The 22,036-nt window shown below is 37.0% G+C and overlaps 1 long non-coding RNA gene across 1 annotated transcript in view, besides 2 other annotated features; it reads left to right on the top strand.

Annotated features, from left to right (window-relative positions):
• The window catches only part of DYNLRB2-AS1 (DYNLRB2 antisense RNA 1), a 407,178-nt gene that overhangs the window by 149,520 nt on the left and 235,622 nt on the right, over positions 1-22,036 (top strand). The gene's annotated exons all lie outside the window — the stretch shown is intronic.
• Positions 6,104-6,248: an enhancer, noted in NCBI's record as "145 bp enhancer 101 fragment used in the MPRA reporter construct; PK_construct_203". NCBI's record gives its function as "activates an SV40 promoter by MPRA in HepG2 cells {active_cell/tissue: HepG2}" and the evidence as "EXISTENCE:reporter gene assay evidence [ECO:0000049][PMID:23512712]".
• Positions 6,170-6,183: a transcriptional cis regulatory region, noted in NCBI's record as "HNF1 motif; enhancer activity is reduced when this motif is scrambled". NCBI's record gives its function as "necessary for full MPRA enhancer 101 activity {active_cell/tissue: HepG2}" and the evidence as "EXISTENCE:site-directed mutagenesis evidence [ECO:0005528][PMID:23512712]".

The following is a 22,036-nucleotide window of genomic DNA, read 5'->3' as shown; positions in this document are numbered from 1 at the left end:
GGTATAAAAATAATTTACAGTCAACCATTTCTTTCTTAAACATTTAGTTTTTTTTTTACTTTTTTTGTCATCACAAACAAGGCTGCACTAAACATTCCTTACAAACAACCTCGTGTGCTCTTATTATCCTCTAATGATCAAAAACAAGGTTGCTGGTCAAAATATATGTGCATATTTTAAGGTTAATAAGTTCTGCCAAATTACTGTTCTAAGTGGTTGGGTCAATGCTCACTCTCCTGCAATGTATGAGAACTCCTGACAACACAGTCTTCGAGTACTACAGTGTCAGCTTCCTGCTCCCAAGGAGTTTGCTATCTGATATCTCACTGAGTCCAGCCGCAGGGGCAGCTGGGAGCTTGCTAGAAATGCAGAATCTTGGGCCCCTCCCCAGACCACCTGACACTGAACTTCATTTTGACAAGACTCTAGGTGATTCATGTGCACGTTACAGTTTTGAAGCACTGGCCTCCTGTTGTGGGTCTCAGCCTTACCTGCACGTTAGAATCACCTGGGGAAATCAACCTCCTATGCCGAGGCCATACCTGCAGACTCACTCTATAGAAATCTCTGGGAATTAAGCCCAAGTAAAAAGAAATTAACTCATTAGGTTAACTGTAATGTGTATCCAAAAGTGAGAAGCACCCATGTAGTAGGAGGGGAGACTTGATAGTGGTAATACAGTGGATTATCATAGCCAGAGGTAAGTGTTCAGGACTGGGGGCAAAGGAGTGACTACTTTCCTGCGGAAGCCGGGGGTGACTTTGCAGAAGAGGTAACATTTGAGCTGGGTCGTAAGATGCAGCAAGGCTGGGCATGGTGCCTCACGCCTGTAATCCCAGTACTTTGGGAGTCCGAGGCGGGTGGATCACGAGGTCAGGAGATTGAGACCATCCTGGCCAACATGGTGAAACCCCGTCTCTACTGAAAAAAAAAAAAATACAAAAATTAGCTAGGTGTGGTGGCATGTGCCTATAGTCCCAGCTACTTGGGAGGCTGAGGCAGGAGGCAGGAGAATCGCTTGAACCCGGGAGGTGGAGGTTGCAGTGAGCTGAGATGGTGCCACTGCACTCCAGCCTGGCCACAGAGCGAGACTCTGTCTCAAAAACCAACCACCCAAACAAACAAACAAAAAACAAAAATGCCACCAGGTGAAAGGGAAGGCTGTATATAGGGAGGGCATGAAGAGTGTGGTGATGCTGGAGAAAGGAGGCGTGAGAAGGTTGACGGCAAGAGAAAGACTAGAGTGGATGGTGATGGGCCTGTGTCTCCTACACCAAGATGCACCTGCCTATGATTTTTGAGTGTGTCATTAGGATGACACAGCATAGGCATGGGGGGTGGATGTCATCTCCCATTAGGCAGGCCAAGATTGGCTTTCCCTAAAGAATAATTGGTTGCCTTTTGGACAATAATTGGGTCATCCTTTCCTTTGATTTCTTTGATATTTCTCACCCTGGCTCCAATATTGCTCTGCACCAATTCTTAACTAATTGAAAGATTTTCTTTCTCTTAGAGGTGGTTGACCTTTACTCCAGCCTGGCTAATCACCTGTGATGATGAACCAACCTACTAATAAAAGTAATGGGGGTGTGAACAAATAACTGTGAAACCTTGAAATATCCCTTATGACATGATATAGACTTTTCAAATAGATATGTTTTATCTAGGTGAACAGTCATTTTAATTGGAGGCACAGGTAAAAAAGATTGGAATCAATATTTATTGGTTGATTCGTTGGTTGGCTTATTTTAAATTGATACGTTACGATCAACATATTATTTTGTTCCAAGCAGAGCTAAGGAAGAAAAAGATTTGGCCCTATGTAAACCTTCTTAGAAATAAGTATGTTCTGGGGGTTTGTTTACCACCTAGGATCACATTTGCTGTTAAGGTAACTTCTGTACCTATCTCTGCCTTGTGAAATGCTCAGTCTTAGCATAGCTTCTAGGTAGCTTCCTGTGATGCTCAATATAGGATTATTGAATAGACGAGAAATTACCAAGGAATTGCATCTGGGGAGAATATGTAAATGACTAATTTATAGCAACATCATAATCTCGGGACATTGAAACTAAATGCCTTTGAAAATTTGTCCCAGTATTTTGTTCAGTAAATACAACCAAATGAAAGCCTGTTTATTTTAAAAATGTTTATTCATTAAAAAAATTAAAAGCTGTATATATATGTGTGTAATATATATATATCCATAATATTCTAACTATGCAGATAACCCCTACTGATGTATCTGAAAGGAATTTATGTGCTTATTTGAAAAATTCGAGCAATTCAGAAAGACACAAGATAAAACTAAAAGACTTCGCCAAACCCCAGTTCCTCTGCAGCAAATTAACCATTCCACTGTGTATCCTTTTGAAAAAAAAGTTCTATGTGATATATATACACACTATATGCATGTGTGTATATGTACATACACACATACAGTTAGTGTATATAGTGTCTATATACATATATGTTAGTGTATATATAGTTAATATATGTATTATACGTATATGTATATACATATATAATATATGTATTATATACATATATGTATATACATATATAATATATGTATTATATACATATATGTATATACATATATTATATATGTATTATATACATATATGTATATACATATATATATGTATATACATATACAACTAATTCTTTAACTTGCTCTGTTCATTAATATATCTTGAATATCTTCCCAAATCATCATATATGGTTCTACTTCTTTTTTTTAAAAAAAATCAACATTTTTCAGTGGAAGTACAATTTATATACAATGAAACACAATCATTTTAAGTGTACTTTTTGATGATGTCTGACAAATACATGTACTCATGTATTTACTAACATCATAATATAGTATATTTCCATCAGCCTAAAATATTCCCTAATGCCCTAGCTATATTCCTTGATCTGTCTGGAAGTCTCCATTCTCTGATATTAATATGGCCACTCCAATTTTCTTAAGATTAGTGTTTGCGTGGCATTTCTTTTCCTATCCTTTAATTTTTAACTCACTTATGTCTTCACATTTAAAGTGTTCAATATAGATAGTCTACACTTGGAGCTTGCTTTTTACAAAATATAATTTTTTTCATTTAATGGAGTCTATTTTACATTTAATAGAAGTATTCAAATGAGTTTGATTTTACCCGTTTGAACCTTGTTTTCTATTTAAACAATCTATTGTTTTTTCTCTTTTTACTTAAAACTTTAATTGAATAATTTTTAGTTTTCTGTTTTATTTCCACTGTTGAGTGATTAGCTATAGCTCTGTTTCATTTTCTTAGTGATTTCTCTAGGATTCATAATGATCTCTCTCTTCAAATAATATTTTAACACTTTATGAATAATGTTTATCGTACACTTCCATTTCCCTTCTATGTCTTCTGTGCTTTTGTCATACATTCTTTTTCTCTACCTGTTATAAATTTCACAAAACATTGTTTTTGTTTAAACAGGCAATGGCTTTAAAAGAAATTAGTAAAGAAAGTTTTTTTCATATTTACCAACATATTAATCATTTCTGGTTCTCTTCATTCCCTTATGTAGGTCCACATCTCCAGCCACTACCACTCTTTTCAGCATGAGGAGCTTCATTTGAATATTTCTTGTATTGTAGGTCTGCTACTGATTTCCATTTTTTTCTGAAAATGTAGATTTTACTTTTACTTTTAATAATATTTCTGTTGTATATATAATTCTAGGCTGGATTTTAAAAAACCACTTTAAAATGTTGTTCTGTTGTATTCTGGCTTGCATTGGAATTGTTCTTATGTTTGTTTCCTATATAATGTGTCTTTTACTTTCTACTTTTAAGATTTTTCTCTGTATCACCTGTTTTCAGCAAATAGACTACACACACACACACATATTTAGTGGTTTTTGTTTTTATTCTGTCTTGGATTCATTGAGGTTCTTAGATCCATGGATTTACAGTTTTAATTAAATGTGAAGAATGTTCAACTGTTATTTTTAAAAATATATTTTACCTTTCTCTTTCTGGGATACCAATTATTTGTGTGGTAGAAACTCCATATTCTTTAAAGGGTCAGTGAAACTCTGATTTTTTTTTAGTTTTTTTTTCTCTGTGCATCATTTGGATGGTTTCCATTTCTATTTCTTCTGGCTCATTGATATTTTCTTTCATTTATTATGTTAAGCCCATCCCATGACTTTTTCATTTTGGGTAATTTACCATTTAGTTTTAATATATACACACACACACACACACACACACACACACACATATATGTGTATGTGTATATATATACATATATGTGGGTATATATATTATGTATGTGTATATATATTATTGTCTCTTACAGGTTTTTATTTTAATTTTACAGATTATTTATAAAAGCTCTCTTAAAGTCTTTGCTGATAGCATCAGCTCTGTCTCTCCTGAGTGTGGTTCTATATTCTGATTTTTCTCCTGATCATGAGTCACAATATGCTGCTTCTCCATATGATTAGTAATTTTTATTAGATTCTTGGCATTGTGATGATATGTGGTTGAGTGTTTAGATTTTGTTGCTTCTCTTTGAGACCTATCCTTTCAGGCCATGTAAAGATTTTTCTGACCTCACTCTACCCACATTCAAAATTGAACTGACCATTGTTTTAATTTTTCAGGGCTCTTAGAGCTGATGAAAATAAATAGGTGATCTTCCATCTACTTGTTTATTTAATGTCTGTATCCTCTATTAGTTTGGAAGCTCCAACTATGTGGAATATGTGGGATATTGTTCATCACTGTAGCACCGCTGCTCAGTACGGGACTTAGTACATAGTGAGCAGCCAGGAACCATTTGTTGTTTGAGTAAGGGAATAAAAAGATATACTCAGCTGTTCTTCAGTCTTATATTAAGATCTCGCTTGATCTTAGCAGACTTGGGGTCAAATGCCAGCTTGTTAGCTTGGGGATTTTTTAATAGTGATTTTACTTCCCAGGATATGTCAAATAAGAATATGTTTCAATACTCATTGTGGATCTTGTTGCTGTTGCTCTGAGTTTAGAAATGAGAACACGTGTAATAGAAGGCTAGTTATTGATAGGGATATGCTCTGGGTTTAGTAGAAAGTGGTGAAATTTTTATTCTTTAAGTGCCCCATATTGTTATCTCAAAAAAATTAATCATGATATGGTGTGCTCTAAAGTGCCCCAAGTTTGGAATCAGCATATGTCTCGATTTATGTTCTGGCTCAGTCACAGAGATCCACATCTTTGCAAGTTACATGACCTCTTTGAGCCTGTTGTTCCCTTATTTGTAAAATGGGGCTAACATTATGTCTTACTTCATGGAGTTGCAATGAAAATGGGTTAGTAGAATCTGTAGAGAACTTAAAAGCTCTCTAAGTGCATAGTAGGTGCTCATTTAGTGGCAATTACTACTATAGTAGCTAATCTCAAGTGTATCTATCCGTATAGAGAGCCATGTGGTGATTCAATATTAGTGATGGTGATATTAAAATGGTTTAGAATGCAGAAATGACACATAGATTTCTTATTGTGTTCTGATTCTTATTGAGTGATAGTAGCTGCCTGTAGATTTGTGTTGAGAGGAACACTGAGGCTGCTTGCAGGCTCAGAGAAAAGCGTGTTGCGATGGATTAGCAATGACTGCTCTGTTTATAGTGATCGTCCACACTGCATACCCTGGTGATCTCTGAGTCTTCTTAGTGAAACTGTTCTGGCTGTGCAATGTGGAATAAAAGATGAGGCAGCCAGAAACTTAATGGAAAAATAACAGGAAGGGGGGTTTGGGCAGGTCTCCTTTAGGAGATGGTGTGGCCCAGTCCATGCTTACTCTGTCTCACCCATGAAGGCTCACCAGGGTGGCTAAACTCCACAAGTGGGGAGAGGGTCACATCCAATCAGTGTGTTTAATGATCCCCTCTCTTTGCCCTCTGTTTGCCTCTAATGTGGACTCTGAATTTGTTTGCTCAAAGTTTCAAGGCTCATTAGGCAGGCCAACTGTGGCTTTCCCTAAAGAGCAATTGGTTGCTTTTTGGACAATGGTCAGGGAAACTTTCCCTTTGATTTCTTTGATACTCTTCACCCTGGCTCCAAGCATCACTCTTCACTGATTCTTAACTAATTGGAGGATTTTCTGTCTCTCAGAGTTGGTTGACCTTTAAGCTAGCCTTATTGATGACCTACAATTATTAACCAACATACTAACAAAATAGCGATAGGGAAAGTGAACAAATAACTTGAGTCCATCTATGGAAAGGACCCAAAAATGGAATGATTTCCATAGGCTTTTCCCAATCAGAAAAAGTGAAAGAATGCATCCAGAAATGCTTGGAAAATTAAGGATTATCATGGAAACGCTTACTATTTTGTTGTTTTTCTTATAGGGATATAAAAAAAAACCCTTTTCCTCTGGATATTTTTAACCATGACAACCTTCTTAACTTTCAGGTCTTGGCTTAAACATTACCTCTTCAGAGATGCCTTTCCCAACCACCCTATCAAAAGTAGCCCTCTCTACCTGCCCATTCTCTCTCATTCTACCTGTGTTTTACTCCTATAACAGCTATCAATTGCTGAAATAATTATTTATAGATGTGTGTAGTGTTTCATTGCCTATTTGTTTTGTTTCCTCCACTTTAAGATTCATGAAGGGGGCTATGCCTGTCTGATTCACCATTCTATCCCCAATATCTAACGTATGAATGGCACATAAGAGGTTGTCAATAAACATTTGTTGGATAAGGGAATAAAAAGATATACTCAGCTGTTCTTCAGTCTTACATTAAGACCTCACTTGATCTTAGCAGAGCTGGGGTCAAATGCCAGCTTGTTAGCTTGGGGATTTTTTTATAGTGACTTTACGTCCCAGTATGTGTCAAATATGAATATGTTTCAATACTCATTGTGGATGAGAGTTGCTGTTGCTCTGAGTTTAGAAATGAAAACATGCCTATATCAAATGACTATTTGATCTAAAATGTAATATAGCAACAGCATTAGTGTGACACTGAAATAACTGCAATTATGAGTTTGTGTCCTGATTTCATCTCTCACTAGTTCTGTGATATTAGGAAAATTACCTAACCAACAATGAATAAAAAGAGGAAAACAGAAGAGGAAGAGATGAATGTAAATCATTGTGTACCGTGACTGTAACAAGACAAGTCCTTTATAAATATTAGCTATTATTATAATGATTGGATATTAATTCATTTCCTTACTCACTCATTTAACATAATTTACTGAGTGTCTCCCAGATACTGCCAGGGAGATTTTCTTTGGGAGGAAACTGAACAGGCCACAAATGGTGTAGATTCTCTTCTGTTTTTTGTGGACTGTTTTTAGTCCACTCTTCTCACTCCTTTTCTGGATGCAATACCAGCAACTTTAGACTTTCCTCCCAATGCATACTGGTCTCTTAATTCCTTCTTCTCCAAATAAGAGCTACTGGATTCAAAAGAAAAATGGACGACAATAGAAGATAAATCGCAGTCACTACTGAGAAAATATGACCTTGTTAGCCACGAGACTATAGTCTGAAAGTTCAGGTGTGGATGTGAGTGAAGGAGAGCCCCATGACTGAGAAGATGCTAAGCTAAGATTGAGATCCAGGTCAGAGACTCATTGAATGAGTGCTTATTGTTTGCCAGGTACTGTGTGCTTCAACTCTGTTACTTTTTTATTAATACTTCAAAGTTTCCAGCCATCCTCGGATAACGTCTACAGCCTTCTTCTGTAATTAAGTAGATGCCACTCTTCTCTGCATCAAGTCCTGCTTTCCTGCTTGTCTGTCTCATATCCCCCCATATCCCAGATGTAGACAACTTGTGCCTTCTTTGAATTCCCTCAGCATCTTATTTCTACCTCTCTTGTGGTAATTGGTAATTTATGGGACTTAAACTCTGAACTCCCTGTTGAAATTAGAGAGATGGAGAGAGAGGTGCTGGCAGCTGTGTCAAATCCAGAACGAGGGAAGCACAAGAATAAGGTTTCTATAATTGCAGCAATTTCATTCTCCAATCTAATTTTATGAATTTCCCTGAAGTTTGTATGAATGTTTTATGCTAACCAAATTTACAAGAGATTATCTACAGATGAGGGTCAGTTTATAATTTATTGTGGAAGTGTCCTGGCCATGAGGGTAGGAATGCTTGCTTTCAGTGTTCAGAACCATCCCTGGGGCTTTGCACTCCCTGAAACTTGTTACTATGTCCAGACGCCCTTTCCAACAAATGGAACTGTAGCTAACTCAACACTCCATCCTGTAACTGAGACTCATTCTTGACATGTTCCTCTTCTTCATCTCATAGGTCCAAACAATCCCCAAGCCCTACAGATTCAGCCTCCTAAGTATCCCTTGGGCTGGTTCCCTTCCCTTTTTCCTCACCAGCACTCCTTGAATCCCATCACCTCCATGCCTGCATCACCTTCTACATCTCACCTTTCTTCACTCTCACTGGCCCTCCACATACTGGAGGGATTGCCCCAGAACTCAGCTTGAGGGTTAAATCCAGTCATGAACTTCTGCTAAGTCTTTGACATGAACTGTTGCTCCCTATGCCTGAAAGGTGAATGTCCCCTGCAGATGAGTCAAGCATTCCACTTGTGTTCTCATCTTGCCTTTCTAGCTGATCCAGATTCTTCTAGTTTGGGATCTGTTTCCCTCCTACAGATGCCCTTCTGTCTTTTCTCCTTGTCCACCACAGGTTGAACAGTTCATACATACAGGACTCCAGCAATAATATGCTTTTCCTGAATACTCTCTTAAGAGGCAGGTTTCTATCTGGTCTGTCTCTCTGATAGAGGAGAAAGAAAGTGTGCAAGACAGCTTATTATTAATGCCCTTTAGGTTGACTCTTAGTTGAGAAAGACAAAAGGAGGCTCTTTGTTGGGCCCCAGTTTTAGACAAGCTGGAGAATATCCTTCAGCAGAAACATAGGATGAAACATATGTGTCCTCTGGCAAGAATGCTAAGTGAAGACACAATGAGAGGGTTCTTCTCCAGGGGCAGTACTCCCTAGAACAGGACTGTCAGAGAATGTACCCGAGGGGATTGATCTCCCCTTGAATAAAGGAAAAACAGCCTAGAAATGCATCTCTAATTACAGATTTCTGGAAGATCACTGACGCTCTTCTAGGAAACTAACAAATTCTCCCACAAATCTATGATCACCTTACCACCTGGACAAACTCATCAAACTCATTGCAGACTCAACCCTCTTCCCCCCAATCCTATGAGGCTGTTCTTATTTTCCCTATTTTAAAAAATGGTGAATCTGAGATAAGGAAGATTAAGAAAAAATGTTCAAAATGATTTCCGTTAGCACTAGAGCCAAGATTTGAACCGAAGTCTGTGTGGCTATAACACATGGTTTCTTTCTAATTCTCTGACCCTGATTCCAAAATATAAAATGAAAACATTTAATTAATCACTTAAAACAACATGTGAGCATGACCTTTAAGTAACTTTCCTAGTTTCTTCACGCTGGAATGTTTACAAAGAACATTTTCAACTTTTCAGGAGGAATTCAGGCATGGTGTGGGAGACATTGACTCCATTCATACACCAACACAATGTGCCAGGGTCTGTTTCCAGTGGGGAGGGAGTGAACAAGGGAGAAGAATTCAGAGGAGAGGCAGCCACTGAAAGAACGCTGAAAAGCTTTCTGAATTTTTTTAAACTTACAAAACAAGACATGCTCATTGTTTGTATTTTAAATAAAACAAAGGGATAAAAAACATGACATGTTTAATGTCATGTTAAAATGTATAGGGCATCTATTATTTGTCTACCCAGCCCCTCATCCTCACTTTCCCCCAACCCCTTAGGAAACTGAGTCTTTATTTTTCCTGGTAACTTCTTTCCTTGCTCTAACTTTATGAATTCCATAGAAACTTCTGTTTTGTTCCATGCCCTAATACTGCTACCTCGGCCCCATCCTACCACTCTCAGGCCACAGATGATAGATCCAGGAAGAGCACCTGACCCCAGACAGGTTAATCACAGCCTTCCCCTTGGATTTTTAAACCGGAGGCCAGAAAGATCAGCTGTCTTTCTTCAGTGGCAGAAAGTATGAGAAAAACAAAAATATTTGAAATACTCAATACTCAGAGTTATTCAAGGTGGTGAAAGTCAATTTCTAGTGATCAGGAATAAATACACCTGCCTAGGTTTCATCCCCAGCTGTAGGAGTTGTACAGGTAATTTCACTTCTCTGTGCCTCAGTTTCTTTATCCATAATATGGTATTGTTTAGAGGCACTTTTTTAAGTCACAATACCAAATGTTGGAGGTACCACTCAAACACTCCTGATAGATGTGTATTTTGGCAATTTGACAGCATCTAATAATATTAAAGATGCACAACCCTTGCCGATCAGTAACTCTACTTCTCTAAGGTATGTGCTGCAGTGAAATCAGAGGATTCAATTAGTCAATAAACGCAAAGTGCTTAGATTCTTGATGTGCACACCATGAGGACTATGTCAATGCTCATTGCTGCTAGTAGTATCAGCAGCAGCAACAGCAGTTGAAGTTGTGGGATTAGGGTAGTCTTATTTTACGCAGAAAGGCACGGACACCGACGTTGGTGAGAGAGTCCAAGTGGCAGTCCAGAGTCTTGGTTCAAATTCATTTCTAAGATCTACTCCAAATCGGTCCTACTCACGGTTTGGTCTTTCGATCTTTCTTTGGGTTCTGTGAGTCAGTGCATTCCCTTTTTGTCTAACCTGGCTGAGTTGAGTTTCTTAAACTTGCCACTGATAGTCCAATAGCTGAATTAATTAAGCACTTAGCATATTTAATATAAATGAGTTCACCATAAAAGTAATATAACAAATACTTCCGATGGTTAATTAGAAATAACAAAGTTTAACATTTTGACATTTTGCTTTGGATTTTCATTTTTGTAATTATTATGACATAAAATATGGTAGATAGATATCATTGAAGCCTCCTTCATACCCCTTACTGGCCCTACCTATTTCCCTTCCCACCTCCTCAGAGAAAATGAATGTCTTGATGAGTATCCTTCACTTCCATAATTGTACACATTGACTTCATGGGCATGTACGGAGAGATAACATTGCATAAAATGCGTTAGTGGCATATTATGTAGTGCTGTCCTGCAACTTGCTTTTATAAATCAACATACATGTAAATTAAGTTCTTTCATTTTAGGTGTTGAATTTTTCATTATTTGAATATGACATATTTTGTCTTTTCCTCTCCTGATGAACATGTATGTGTTTCCTTTATGTATCTATTTATTTTGATCTCTCAAAACTCTAATACATTTGTGAATTTCTTCTTGTGTATGTGTGTGAGCATTTCAACTATAGCACATACATTAGAGAAGTAGAGTTACTGATTGGCAAGGCTTCTGTATTTTTAGTATTATTAGATGCTGTCAAATTGCCGAAATGCACATCCATCAGTAGTGTATGTTGGTCCCTCCAACATTTCGCATTGTCACTTTAAAAAAAGTGCCTAGGCCAGGCACGGTGGCTCACGCCTGTAATCCCAGCACTTTGAGAGGCTGAGGTGGGCAGGGGTCAGGAGTTCGAGATCAGCCTGGGCAACATGGCGAAACCCCATCTCTATTACAAATACAAAAATTAGCCAGACCTGGTGGTGCGTGCTTATACTCCCAGCTACTCGGGAGGCTGAGGCAGGAGAATCACTTGAACCCAGGAGGCAGAGGTTGCAGTGAGCTAAGATTGCACCACTGTGCTCCAGCCTGGGCAAAAGAGCGAGACTCCATCTCAAAAAAAAAAAAAAAAAAAAACAGAAACAGAAACAAACAAACAAACAAACAAAAAAAACAAAAGGGCCAGGCTGGGTGTAGTGGCTTAAGACTGTAATCCTAACACTTTGGGAGGCTGAGATGGGAGGATCACTTGAAGCCAGAGTTCAAGACTGGCCTGGGCAACATAATGAGACCCCCATCTCTGAAAAAAACCCATACATTATCTGGGCGTGGTGGCAGAGACCTGTAGTCTCAGCCATTTTGGAAGGCTGAAGTGGGAGGATTGCTTGAGCTCAGGAGTTCAAGGCTGCAGTGAGCTAGCATTGCTCCAATGCACTCCAGCCTGGACCACAGAGCAAGATCCTGTCTCAAAAAAAAAAAAAAAAGAAAGAAAAATGCACACCTTTGGGATGTGAAATGGTATGTTAGAGTTGTTTCAATGACATCTCCTTGATAAATAAAAAGGTTAAGGAACATTTTATGTTTCTTGATCATTTGTATGTCCTTTTCTATGAATTAAATGCATGTAGCTTTTGCTAATTTTTCTATTGCATTATTTGTCTCTTCCTTATTGAATATTAAACATCGTTTATAGATTCTGATACTAACCAGTTAAACTGATAACTAATCAGTTAAATGGTTTCTCTAACTCTGTGGCTGATCTTTCAAAATTTTATCATGTCTTTAGTTATATAGAAACTAGAAACTGGATTGTAGTCAAAATTCACAATTTCTTTATGATTTGGTGCATTTTAAAAAAATCCTAATTTTTAATGTTTGTGGGTACTAGTAGATGCATGTATTTATGGGGTACAGGAGATATTTTGATATAGGCATGCGGTACATAACACATATCACATCAGGGTAAATGGGGTGTCCGTTCCCTCAAGCATTTATGTTTTGTGTTACAAACAATTCAATGGTACTCTTTTAGTTATTTTAAAATGTACAATTAGCCTGGGGTGGTGGCTCATGCCTGTAATCCCAGCACTTTGGGAGGCTGCGGCCGGGGGCGGATCACTTGAGGCTAGGAGTTCGAGACCAGCCTGGCCAACATGGCAAAACCCTGTTTCTACTAAAAGTACAAAAAATAGCTGAGTGTGGTGGCACATGCCTGTAATCCCAGCTACTTGGTAAACTGAGACACAAGAATAGTTTGAACCTGGGAGGTGGAGGTTGCGGTGAGCCGAGATCACGCCACTGCACTCCAGCCTGGGCAACAGAGTGAGACTCTGACTCAAAAAATAAAATAAAATAAATTGTACAATTGAATTATTATTGACTTTCATCACCCTGCTGTGCTTCTCCATAGTAGTTGTACTAATTTACATTCCCACCAACAGTATACAAGGGTTCTTTTTTCTTCATAATCTCACCAGCATTTATCATTGCCTGTCTTTTGGATAAACGCGTATTTTACATGGGTGAAATGATATCTCATTGTAGTTTTGATTTGCATTTCTCTGATGATCGTGATGCTGAGCACCTTTTCATAGATCGGTTTACCATTTGTTTATCTTCTTTTGAGAAATGTCTATTCGGATCTTTTGCCCATTTTAAAATCAGATTATTGGATTTATTTTCCTATAGAGTTGTTTGAGCTCCTTACATATTCTGGTTATTCATCTCTTGTCAGTTGGGAAGTTTGCAAATACTTTCTCCCATTATGTTAGTTGTCTCTTCACTCTGTTGATTGTATCCTTTGCTGTGCAAAAGCTTTTTAACTTGACGTGATCTCATTTGTTCATTTTTGCTTTGTTGCTTGTGCTTGTGGGATGTTACTCGAGAAAATCTTTGCCCAGTAAAATGTCCTAGAGAGTTTCCCCAATGTTTTCTTATAGTAGTTTCTTAGTTTGAGGTCTTACATTTAAGTCTTTAGTCCATTCTGATTTGATTTTTTTATATGGCGAGAGATAGGGGTCTAGTTTTATTCTTTTGTATATGAATATTCAGCTTCCCCAGCACCATTTACTGAAGAGACTGTCCTTTCCCCAATGTACGTTTTTGGCACTTCTGTTGAAAATGAGTTCACTTTACATGTATGGATTTGTTTCTGCATTCTCTATTCTGTTCCATTGGTCTGTGTTTTTATGCCAGTACCCTGCTCTTTTGATTACTATAGCTCTAGTATAATTTGAAGTCAGATAATGTGATTCCTCCAGTTATGTTCTTTTTCCTTAGGATAGCTTTGGGTATTCTGGGTCTTTTGTGGTTCCACATACATTTTAGGATTGTTTTTCCTATTTCTGTGAAGAATGTTATTGATGTTTTGATAGAGATTGCATTGAATATGTGGATTGCTTTGGGTAGTATGGATATCTTAACAATGTTGACTTTTCTAAACCATGAACGTGGAATATCTTTCCATTATTTTTTTGGTGTCCTCTTCAACTTCTTGCATCAATATTTTGTAATTTTCATTGTAGAGATCTTTCTCCTCTTTGTTTAATTCCTAGGTATTTAATTTTATTTGTAGCTATTGTAAATGGGATTACTTTCTTGACTGCTTTTTCAGATTGTTCGCTATTGGCTTATAGAAATGTTACTGCTTTTCGTATGCTGATTTTATATCCTGCAGCTTTGCTGAATTTGTTGATCAGTTCTAACAGATTTTTGGTGGAGTCTTTAGGTTTTCTCAAATATAGGATCATATCATCTGCAAACAAGGATAATTTGACTTCTTCCTTTACACTTTGGATGCCCTTTATTTCTTTCTTTCGCTTGATTGCTTTAGGATTTTCAGTGCTTTGTTGAATGATGGTAAAAGTGGGCATCCTTTTTGTGTTCCAGATCTCAGAGGAAAGGCTTTTAGTTTTACTCCATTCCATATGATACTAGCTGTGGGTCTATCATATGTGGTTTTTGTTAGGGTATATTCTTTCTATACTGTTTTTTGATGGTTTTTTTATTATGAAGGGATGTTGAATTTTATCAAATGTTTTCCAGCATCAATCCAAATGATCATATGGTTTTTGTCCTTCATTCTGTTGATATGATGTATCGCATAGATTGATTTGCGCATGTTGAACCATCCTTGGATCCCAGGGGTAAATATCACTTGATCGTGATGAATTATCTTTTTAATGTGTTGAATTTGGTTTGCTAGTATTTTGTTGCCGATTTTTGCATCAGTGTTCATCAGTGATACTGGCCTGTAGTTTTCATGTGTCTTTGGTTTTGCTATCAAGGTAATACTGGCCTCATATAATAAATTTGGAAGTATTCCCTCCTCCTCTGTTTTTCAGAATAGTTTGAGTATGATTGATATTGGTTCTTATTTAAATGTTTGGTAGAATTCAGCAGTGAAGTCTTAGTGTCCTGGGCTTTTCTATGCTGGGAGGCTTTTTCTTTTGGATTCAATCTCATTACTTGTCAGGCTGCTCAGGTTTGGGATTTATTCATGTTTTAATCTTGGTAGGTTTTATACGTCTAGGAATTTATTCATTTCTTCTAGATTTTCTAACTTATTGGCATATAGGTGCTCATAGTAGCTATTAATGATCCTCTGAATTTCTGAGGTATGGGTTGTAATGTCTCCTTTTTCATCTCTGATTTTGTTTATTTGGGCCTTATTTTTTTCTCTGTTAGTCTGGTTAAGGATTTGTCCATTTTGTTTAACTTTTCAAAAAACCAACTTTTTGTTTTGTTGATCTTTTTTATTTTGTTCGTGTCAATTTCATTTATTTCTGCTCTGGTGTTTGTTAATTATTATCTTCTAATAATTTTGTGTTTGATTTGCCCTTGTTTTTCTAGTTCTTTGACATGCATTGTTAGGTCCTTTATTTACAGTTTTTCTTCTTTTTTGATATAGGTGCTTATAGATATAAACTTCCCTCCTAGTGCAGCTTTTGATGTATCCCATAAGTTTGGTATATTGGGTTTCCATTATCATTTGTTTCAAGAAATTTTTTCTATTTCCTTCTTAATGTCTTCATTGACCCACTGCTCATTCAGGAGTATATTGTTTAATTTCCGTATGTTTGTATAGTTTCCAAAATTCCTCTTGTTGTTGATTTCTAGTTTTATTCCATTGTGGTTAGAAAAGATGCTTGATATTATTTCAATTTTTTTGGATGTTTTAAGACTTGTTTTGTGACCTAACATATGGTCTATCCTTGAGAATGATCCCTGTGCTGAGGAGAAGAAGGTGTATTCTGAAGTTGTTGGAGTTAATGTTCTGTAAATATCTAGTAGGTCCATTTGGTCTATAGTGATGACTAAGTCCTATTTTTTTTGTGTCTGGAAGATCTGTGCAATGGGTGTTGAAATCTTCAGCTATTATCATATCATATATCTTTCTTTACCTTTAATAATATTTGCTTTATATATATCTGAGTGCTCCGGTGTTGAGTGCATATATGTTAACTACTGCCAGGCTACTGCTGATGTTTCCTTAAGGCCCCAAAGCTCTTCTGTTAGGTTATGCTGAATGCTGCCAGGCCTAGGAGTCACCCTTCAGGGCAGTGGGCTCCTCTCTGGCTGAGGGCAGGTTCAGAAATGCTGTCCAAAAGCGACGTCCTGGAACTGGGGACTCCAAGGGCCTGCTTCGTGCTCTACCCAACCATGGCCAAGTTGATAGCTGATTTTTGGTTCTTATGAAGGTGGGGTGTGTGTGTGTGAGTGTGTGTGTGTTTGCGTGTGTATGTGTGTGTGTAGATATTAATAATTGTTAAATTTGGTGTTCCTGTATGTGTGGCAGGGTGTGATTGGTGGAGGCTTCTATTTGGCTATCTTGCTCTACCTAACTTCTCAATCTGATTGGTGCTTTTTTGAGAAATAATTCCTTATTACTGAGTCATAGCTATATTCTCTTATATTTCTTTCTTGTAAAAGTTTTGATTTTGATTTTTATGTTTTATATATTTATTTAATCTAGAATTAATTTCTCTGTGGTTTAAAGTTAGAATCTAATTTTAACTTCCTATATGAAAATCATTTGTGGTAGCACATTTAATAAATAGTTCATAGTTTCCTTATACATTGGTAATGTAAATCCTTTTTAAATCAAGTGTTCATGTGACTCTGTTTCTTGGTTCTTCATTCCATGTCGTTCTATCTCGCCCTACCCAGTCCTAGCTGATTTCATGCCATTCCACTCCACTTCCATTCTATTCCACTCTACTTCTTCCTTCATTCTACTTCCATTCCATTCTGTTCCATTCCATTCCACTTCCGTTCCATTCTATTCCACTCCCATTCATACTACTTCCATTTCATTCCACTTCCATTCCATTCCACTTCCATGCCATGCCATATCATGCCATGCCATTCCATTCCACTTCCATTCATTCTACCTCCATTCCATTCCTATTTGGCTACCTATTCCTGGGTCATTCTTAGTTGCTATTAAGTATTATATTTTATGGGGATGTACTTTTGGTGGTTTTTAAATGTATCTGTCAATTTTTTAACATTTTTTTCATCAAAATGTCTAGTTCCCTACCCCTTGATTCTGGGAAGGCTTTAGAGATGATTTCTTTCTTTTTCTTTTTTTCTTTTTTCTTTTTTTTTGAGATAGAGTCTCGCTGTTGTCGCCCAGGCTGGAGTGCAATGGCACAATCTCGGCTCACTGCAACCTCTGCCTCCAAGGTTCAAGTGATTCTCCTGCCTCAGCTTCCGGAGTGGCTGGGATTACAGGCACCTGCCACTATGCTTGGCTAATTTTTGTATTTTTAGTAGAGATGGGGTTTCACCATGTTATCCAAGCTGGTCTCGAACTCCCAACCTCAGGTGATCCACCCTCCTCGGTCTCCCAAAGTGCTAGGATTACAGGCCTGAGCCACCGTGCCCAGCCTAGAGACAATTTCTAACTAATAGAACGCAGTGAAGGTGATGTTGTGTGACTTTCAAGACTACATCATAAAATGTGATGCAGCTTCTGCCTGGCTCTTTGTGGCTACTTTTGGAAACCAGCCACCATGTTGTGAGGAAGCCAGGCAGCCACGTGGAGGGTGGTGGGGGGGCATGTGTAGATGTTGCAGCCAACATCTCCTCTGCAGTCCCAGCCAATAGTCAATGTCAACCACTGTGCAGATGAGTAGATGATCTGTTAGAAGATTCCAGCCCTGAGCAGCATTTCCAGCTTCTCCTGCTTCTTGGAGTAGAGATAAGAGATTCCCACAGAGAACTGTCCAAATTGTTGATTTATGAACAAAATAAATCGTTGTTGTTTTAAACAACTTAGATTTGAGGTGGTTTGTCACATAGCAATATGTATTGAAACAGTTTTCTCTTCTTATTCTTTTTCATAATTGTCTTCACTATTTTTTTGTTTTTTTTTGATACAGAGTCTGGCTCTGTTGCCCACGCTGGAGTGCAGTGGCACAGTCTCTGCTCACTGGAATTCCACCTCCCAGGTTCAAGCAATTCTTCTGTGTCAGCTACCCAAGTAGCTGGGGCTGTAGGAATGTGCCACCACACCCAGCTGTTTTGTGTGTGTGTGTGTGTGTGTGTGTGTATATTTTTGGTAGAGACGAGGTTTTGCCATGTTGGCCAGGCTGGTCTCAGATTCCTGGTCTCAAGCTGTCCTCCTGCCTTGGCCTCCCAAAGTGTTGGGACTACAGGTGTGAACCACTGAGCCTGGAGTTTGTTTGCCGTTCTGGAATCTTTCTCCCTTGGTATAAATTTTAGGACCTGTTTGCCAGCTTCCATGAAAAATTCTGTTGGGATTTTAATGGTAACTGTATTACAATTACCTATTAATTTGGAGGGGCTTAAATTCTTAATGTTATTAATTTTCTCCCTTCTAAATGTAATATATCTTTCCCTTTATAAATATTAGTGTCTTTCAATGATTTTTACTATATTTTTTCACATTTTAATAATTCACAAGTCTTTCACATTTTAATAATTTCATCCCTTGATAACAGTAAAGTATCTTGAACTTTTTCTATAGTATTTTCTAATTGGTGAGTGCTGGTTTGTAGCAATGTTATTTATATATTTTTATTTTGAAACTGTATTCAGGAATTTTTCTAAATTATCCTTTTAGATCTAATAGTTTTGCTTTCCCATATGAATTTTAGAGAATTATATAATTTGTATAATTACAAATAATTATATTTTTAATTATTATATGTATATAATTATTACAAGTAATTATAATTACAATTTATAGAAGCAATTTATGTATAGTCTTTTATTTTTATTTCTGGGACAAAGGAATAAAAGTGATTATAGGACATTTGTGTTTTTTTGACTTTGAAAACCATGTTTCTAATATTTCACAGTTGATGAATTTTATCATCGGTTTTTAGAAACCATTTGGTATTAGGTTTAAAAACTTCATTTTATTGCTGGTTCTCTAACACTTTCTGTCATAAATGGCTATGAAATTTGTAAAATATTATATCTATATCATTTGAAATGATTGTTTACTATTATTGAACCATCCTTGCATTTCTAGAATAAATATCTGCTTGATAATATTATTGTTTTCTGATACATAGGGCCATGAAATTCATCAAAGAACTAGAAGTCTATTTATAATATCTGAGTTAGACAGAGTTTCGATGGCATTTGATGAATCAATCACCAGTGGCTTGATGATTCTTTTTGATTCCCCCTTTAAATCTAAATCTTATAGATGGCATTGAGTACTTCTAACAGCAGGTACATAAGGTCTCCTCGTATCTCTTTCAGTGATGTTAAAATTGGTCAGATTTAACTGGCTACTGATAATCATTGACCAGAGCCATTATTTCAGTGTTTCAAAGTGGTTTCTATTTTTTTAACTTGCAATTTTTCAAAAAAAATTCTTCTTCTCCTCTTTCTCGCCCTCTCTTCCTTTCTTTTCTTCTAGATTTAAATTTGCTCTGAAGTAGAATTTATTTAGGAAATGGAGGGCAAATTCTTGATTGTTTTTTCCTCTTTATTTTACAGTTTCCAAATAATGACTTACTTCCCTAGCATTCTCCAAAGGTCACTAATATTTTTAAAAATATTATAAATTTTTTATGGATTTTTAACATGATCTATATGTTGCAATCAATGGCAAGAGAGGATTCTTTTTGTGCTCAAATTGTCCTGTCGTTGGCCAGTGGAAGTTCCTTCACCTTAGCTCCTGAGACCTCTTGATGTAACTCTAGGAGACTTGGTATGTCTCTTTTCTGCTTGTTCCAGGAGCATCTTGCACATTTTCTGTGCTCAGTCTGGAACCAGACATTTCTCCAAAAAGCAGGTACTTTCTACAAGTGAGAAAAGGTATTTTGCGGCCAGAGTCTGGGCACTGGGATGTTCTTTGTGTTGGGTTATCATTGTGCACAGATGTTTTCAGTAGAAAATCTTGGAAAAGCATATTTTTAAGAAAAAATACATTATAAGTTGATGCCAACAGTATAAATGCTGAAAACAAAGATTTATTTGTGGAACTTTTTGACCTTAGGATATATCCATTTGGAATTCATTGTCAAATTATTGTGTTTTAAAGCCCCTTGAAATAATTGATTAAGACTTGAGTTTCCCTCTGTCACCCAGGCTAGAGTGCAATGGCATGATCTCGGCTCACTGTAACTTCTGCCTCCCAGGTTCAAGCGATTCTCCTGCCTCGGCCTCCCAGGTGGCTGGGGCTATAGGCACATGCCACCATGCCTGGCTAATTTTTGTATTTTTCGTAGAGACAGGGATTCACCAAGTTGGCCAGGCTAGTCTCAAACTCCTGACTTCAAGTGATCTTCCCGCCTCAGCCTCTCAAAGTGCTGGGATTACAGGTGTGAGCCACTGCACCAGGCTGAAATAAGTTACTTTTGATGATATTACATTTTATAGTTATATTTATTTGTTTCACTTAGTTTTTAAAGTACTTTATCTTATTCTGATTTAAATTTTGATACAATTTGGTTAAACATTTGCTTGTTATGAAAGGCATAGCTGAAAAGCAAAGCATATTTAAGAAGTCTAGCCTTTCACACTACTGCTTTATGTACCTGTTTTTGTAGATATAAACAAATACACACACTCTTTTTCTCTCTCTCATCAGTTTCCTAAATAAAAGGTAATATACTACACATGCTTTCTGCTCCTTGCATTTTTAAAATTAATATTTTCTGATAATCACTTTGGAGCAGTATCAGATATAATTTTGTTCATTTTTATAGCTGCATAATACTCCGCTTGGAGCAGGGTACCATAGTTTATGTAATTAACTACATACAGATGGACATTTGCATTTTTTTATAGTCTTTTACTATTACAAATAGAGCTTCAATAACTACTTTGTTCATATCATCTTATTTTTTTTTCCAGTGTGTCTTTGGCATTTCTAAGTAAAAGGCATATATAATTTTGCTAGACATTTAAATATTTCTCACCATAGGAGTTGTACAATTGAAATATATACCAACAAGTTTTAAAGTCCCTGTTTTTACCTCACCAGTATAGTATATATTTATTTGTTTGTATGGTATATTAAATATATCCATGTATATTTAATAATTATATATGTAATGTCTCTGGGTGTGTTTGTATGTATATATTTTTCAAACTTTGGGGGGTTTTCTTTTCCAATATAATAGGTGAGAAATTCTGTTTAGCTGTAGTTTTACTTTTTTTTTTTTTAGCAAAGATGAATGACTTTTTACACATTTAAGAACCATTATGGTTTTTCTGTGAACTCCTGTATCTCTTGTTCCTTTTGCTATAAAATCATTGTGCTTTTCTTTATTTATAGGAGTCTTTTACATCTTTGGGTTATTAACTTTGTTGTGATATAGGTTGCAAATATTTGCCCCTGTTTGTCATTTGCTTTTTAGTTTGCTTAGGCTGATTTTGCTATTTTTTTTTAAACATTACCTCTGGTCTTTAAGTTGTCCCCCTCATCATTCTGCCATTCTAGCCTTATGAATGGAAACCATTTCATTTACTTCTCACCTCAGCAATCATGATCACCAGCAAAGGAAGATTTTTTAAAGTGCCGAGTATAGAAAAGGCAGGGAAGAGCTCATTTTTATCAAGCAGCTGTGCATTGGGCCTAGTATCTTCAGGTCCAGTAAGAAACCTACTTTCTCGTGATCACTGGGGGCTCTGGAGAATCCATGCTGGGCATTCAGCTTCAGAGGAGGGCCACTGATATTGGACTTCTTATTGGTTGGAAATCCCAAACATCCGCATGGTGGCCCACTGTTATCACCTTGTCTCTGCACTGTCTGCTGTATCTAGTCATCACATGTGAACTGTTCAGAGCAGCTAATGGGTGTTCCACCTTACAGATGAGGACACTGTGCTAAACCCCTTGCTGAATGTCCCGCTGTGGCTGAGGCAGGCTACCAGCTCATGGCTTCTGGCGTCCAGGGCACCATTTGTCT

The sequence above is a fragment of the Homo sapiens genome, chromosome 16, assembly GCF_000001405.40.
Source record: "Homo sapiens chromosome 16, GRCh38.p14 Primary Assembly".
Lineage (NCBI taxonomy): Eukaryota > Metazoa > Chordata > Mammalia > Primates > Hominidae > Homo > Homo sapiens.
The sequence above is the reverse complement of the archived record's forward strand: the minus strand, read 5'-3'. Positions and strand labels throughout refer to the sequence as shown.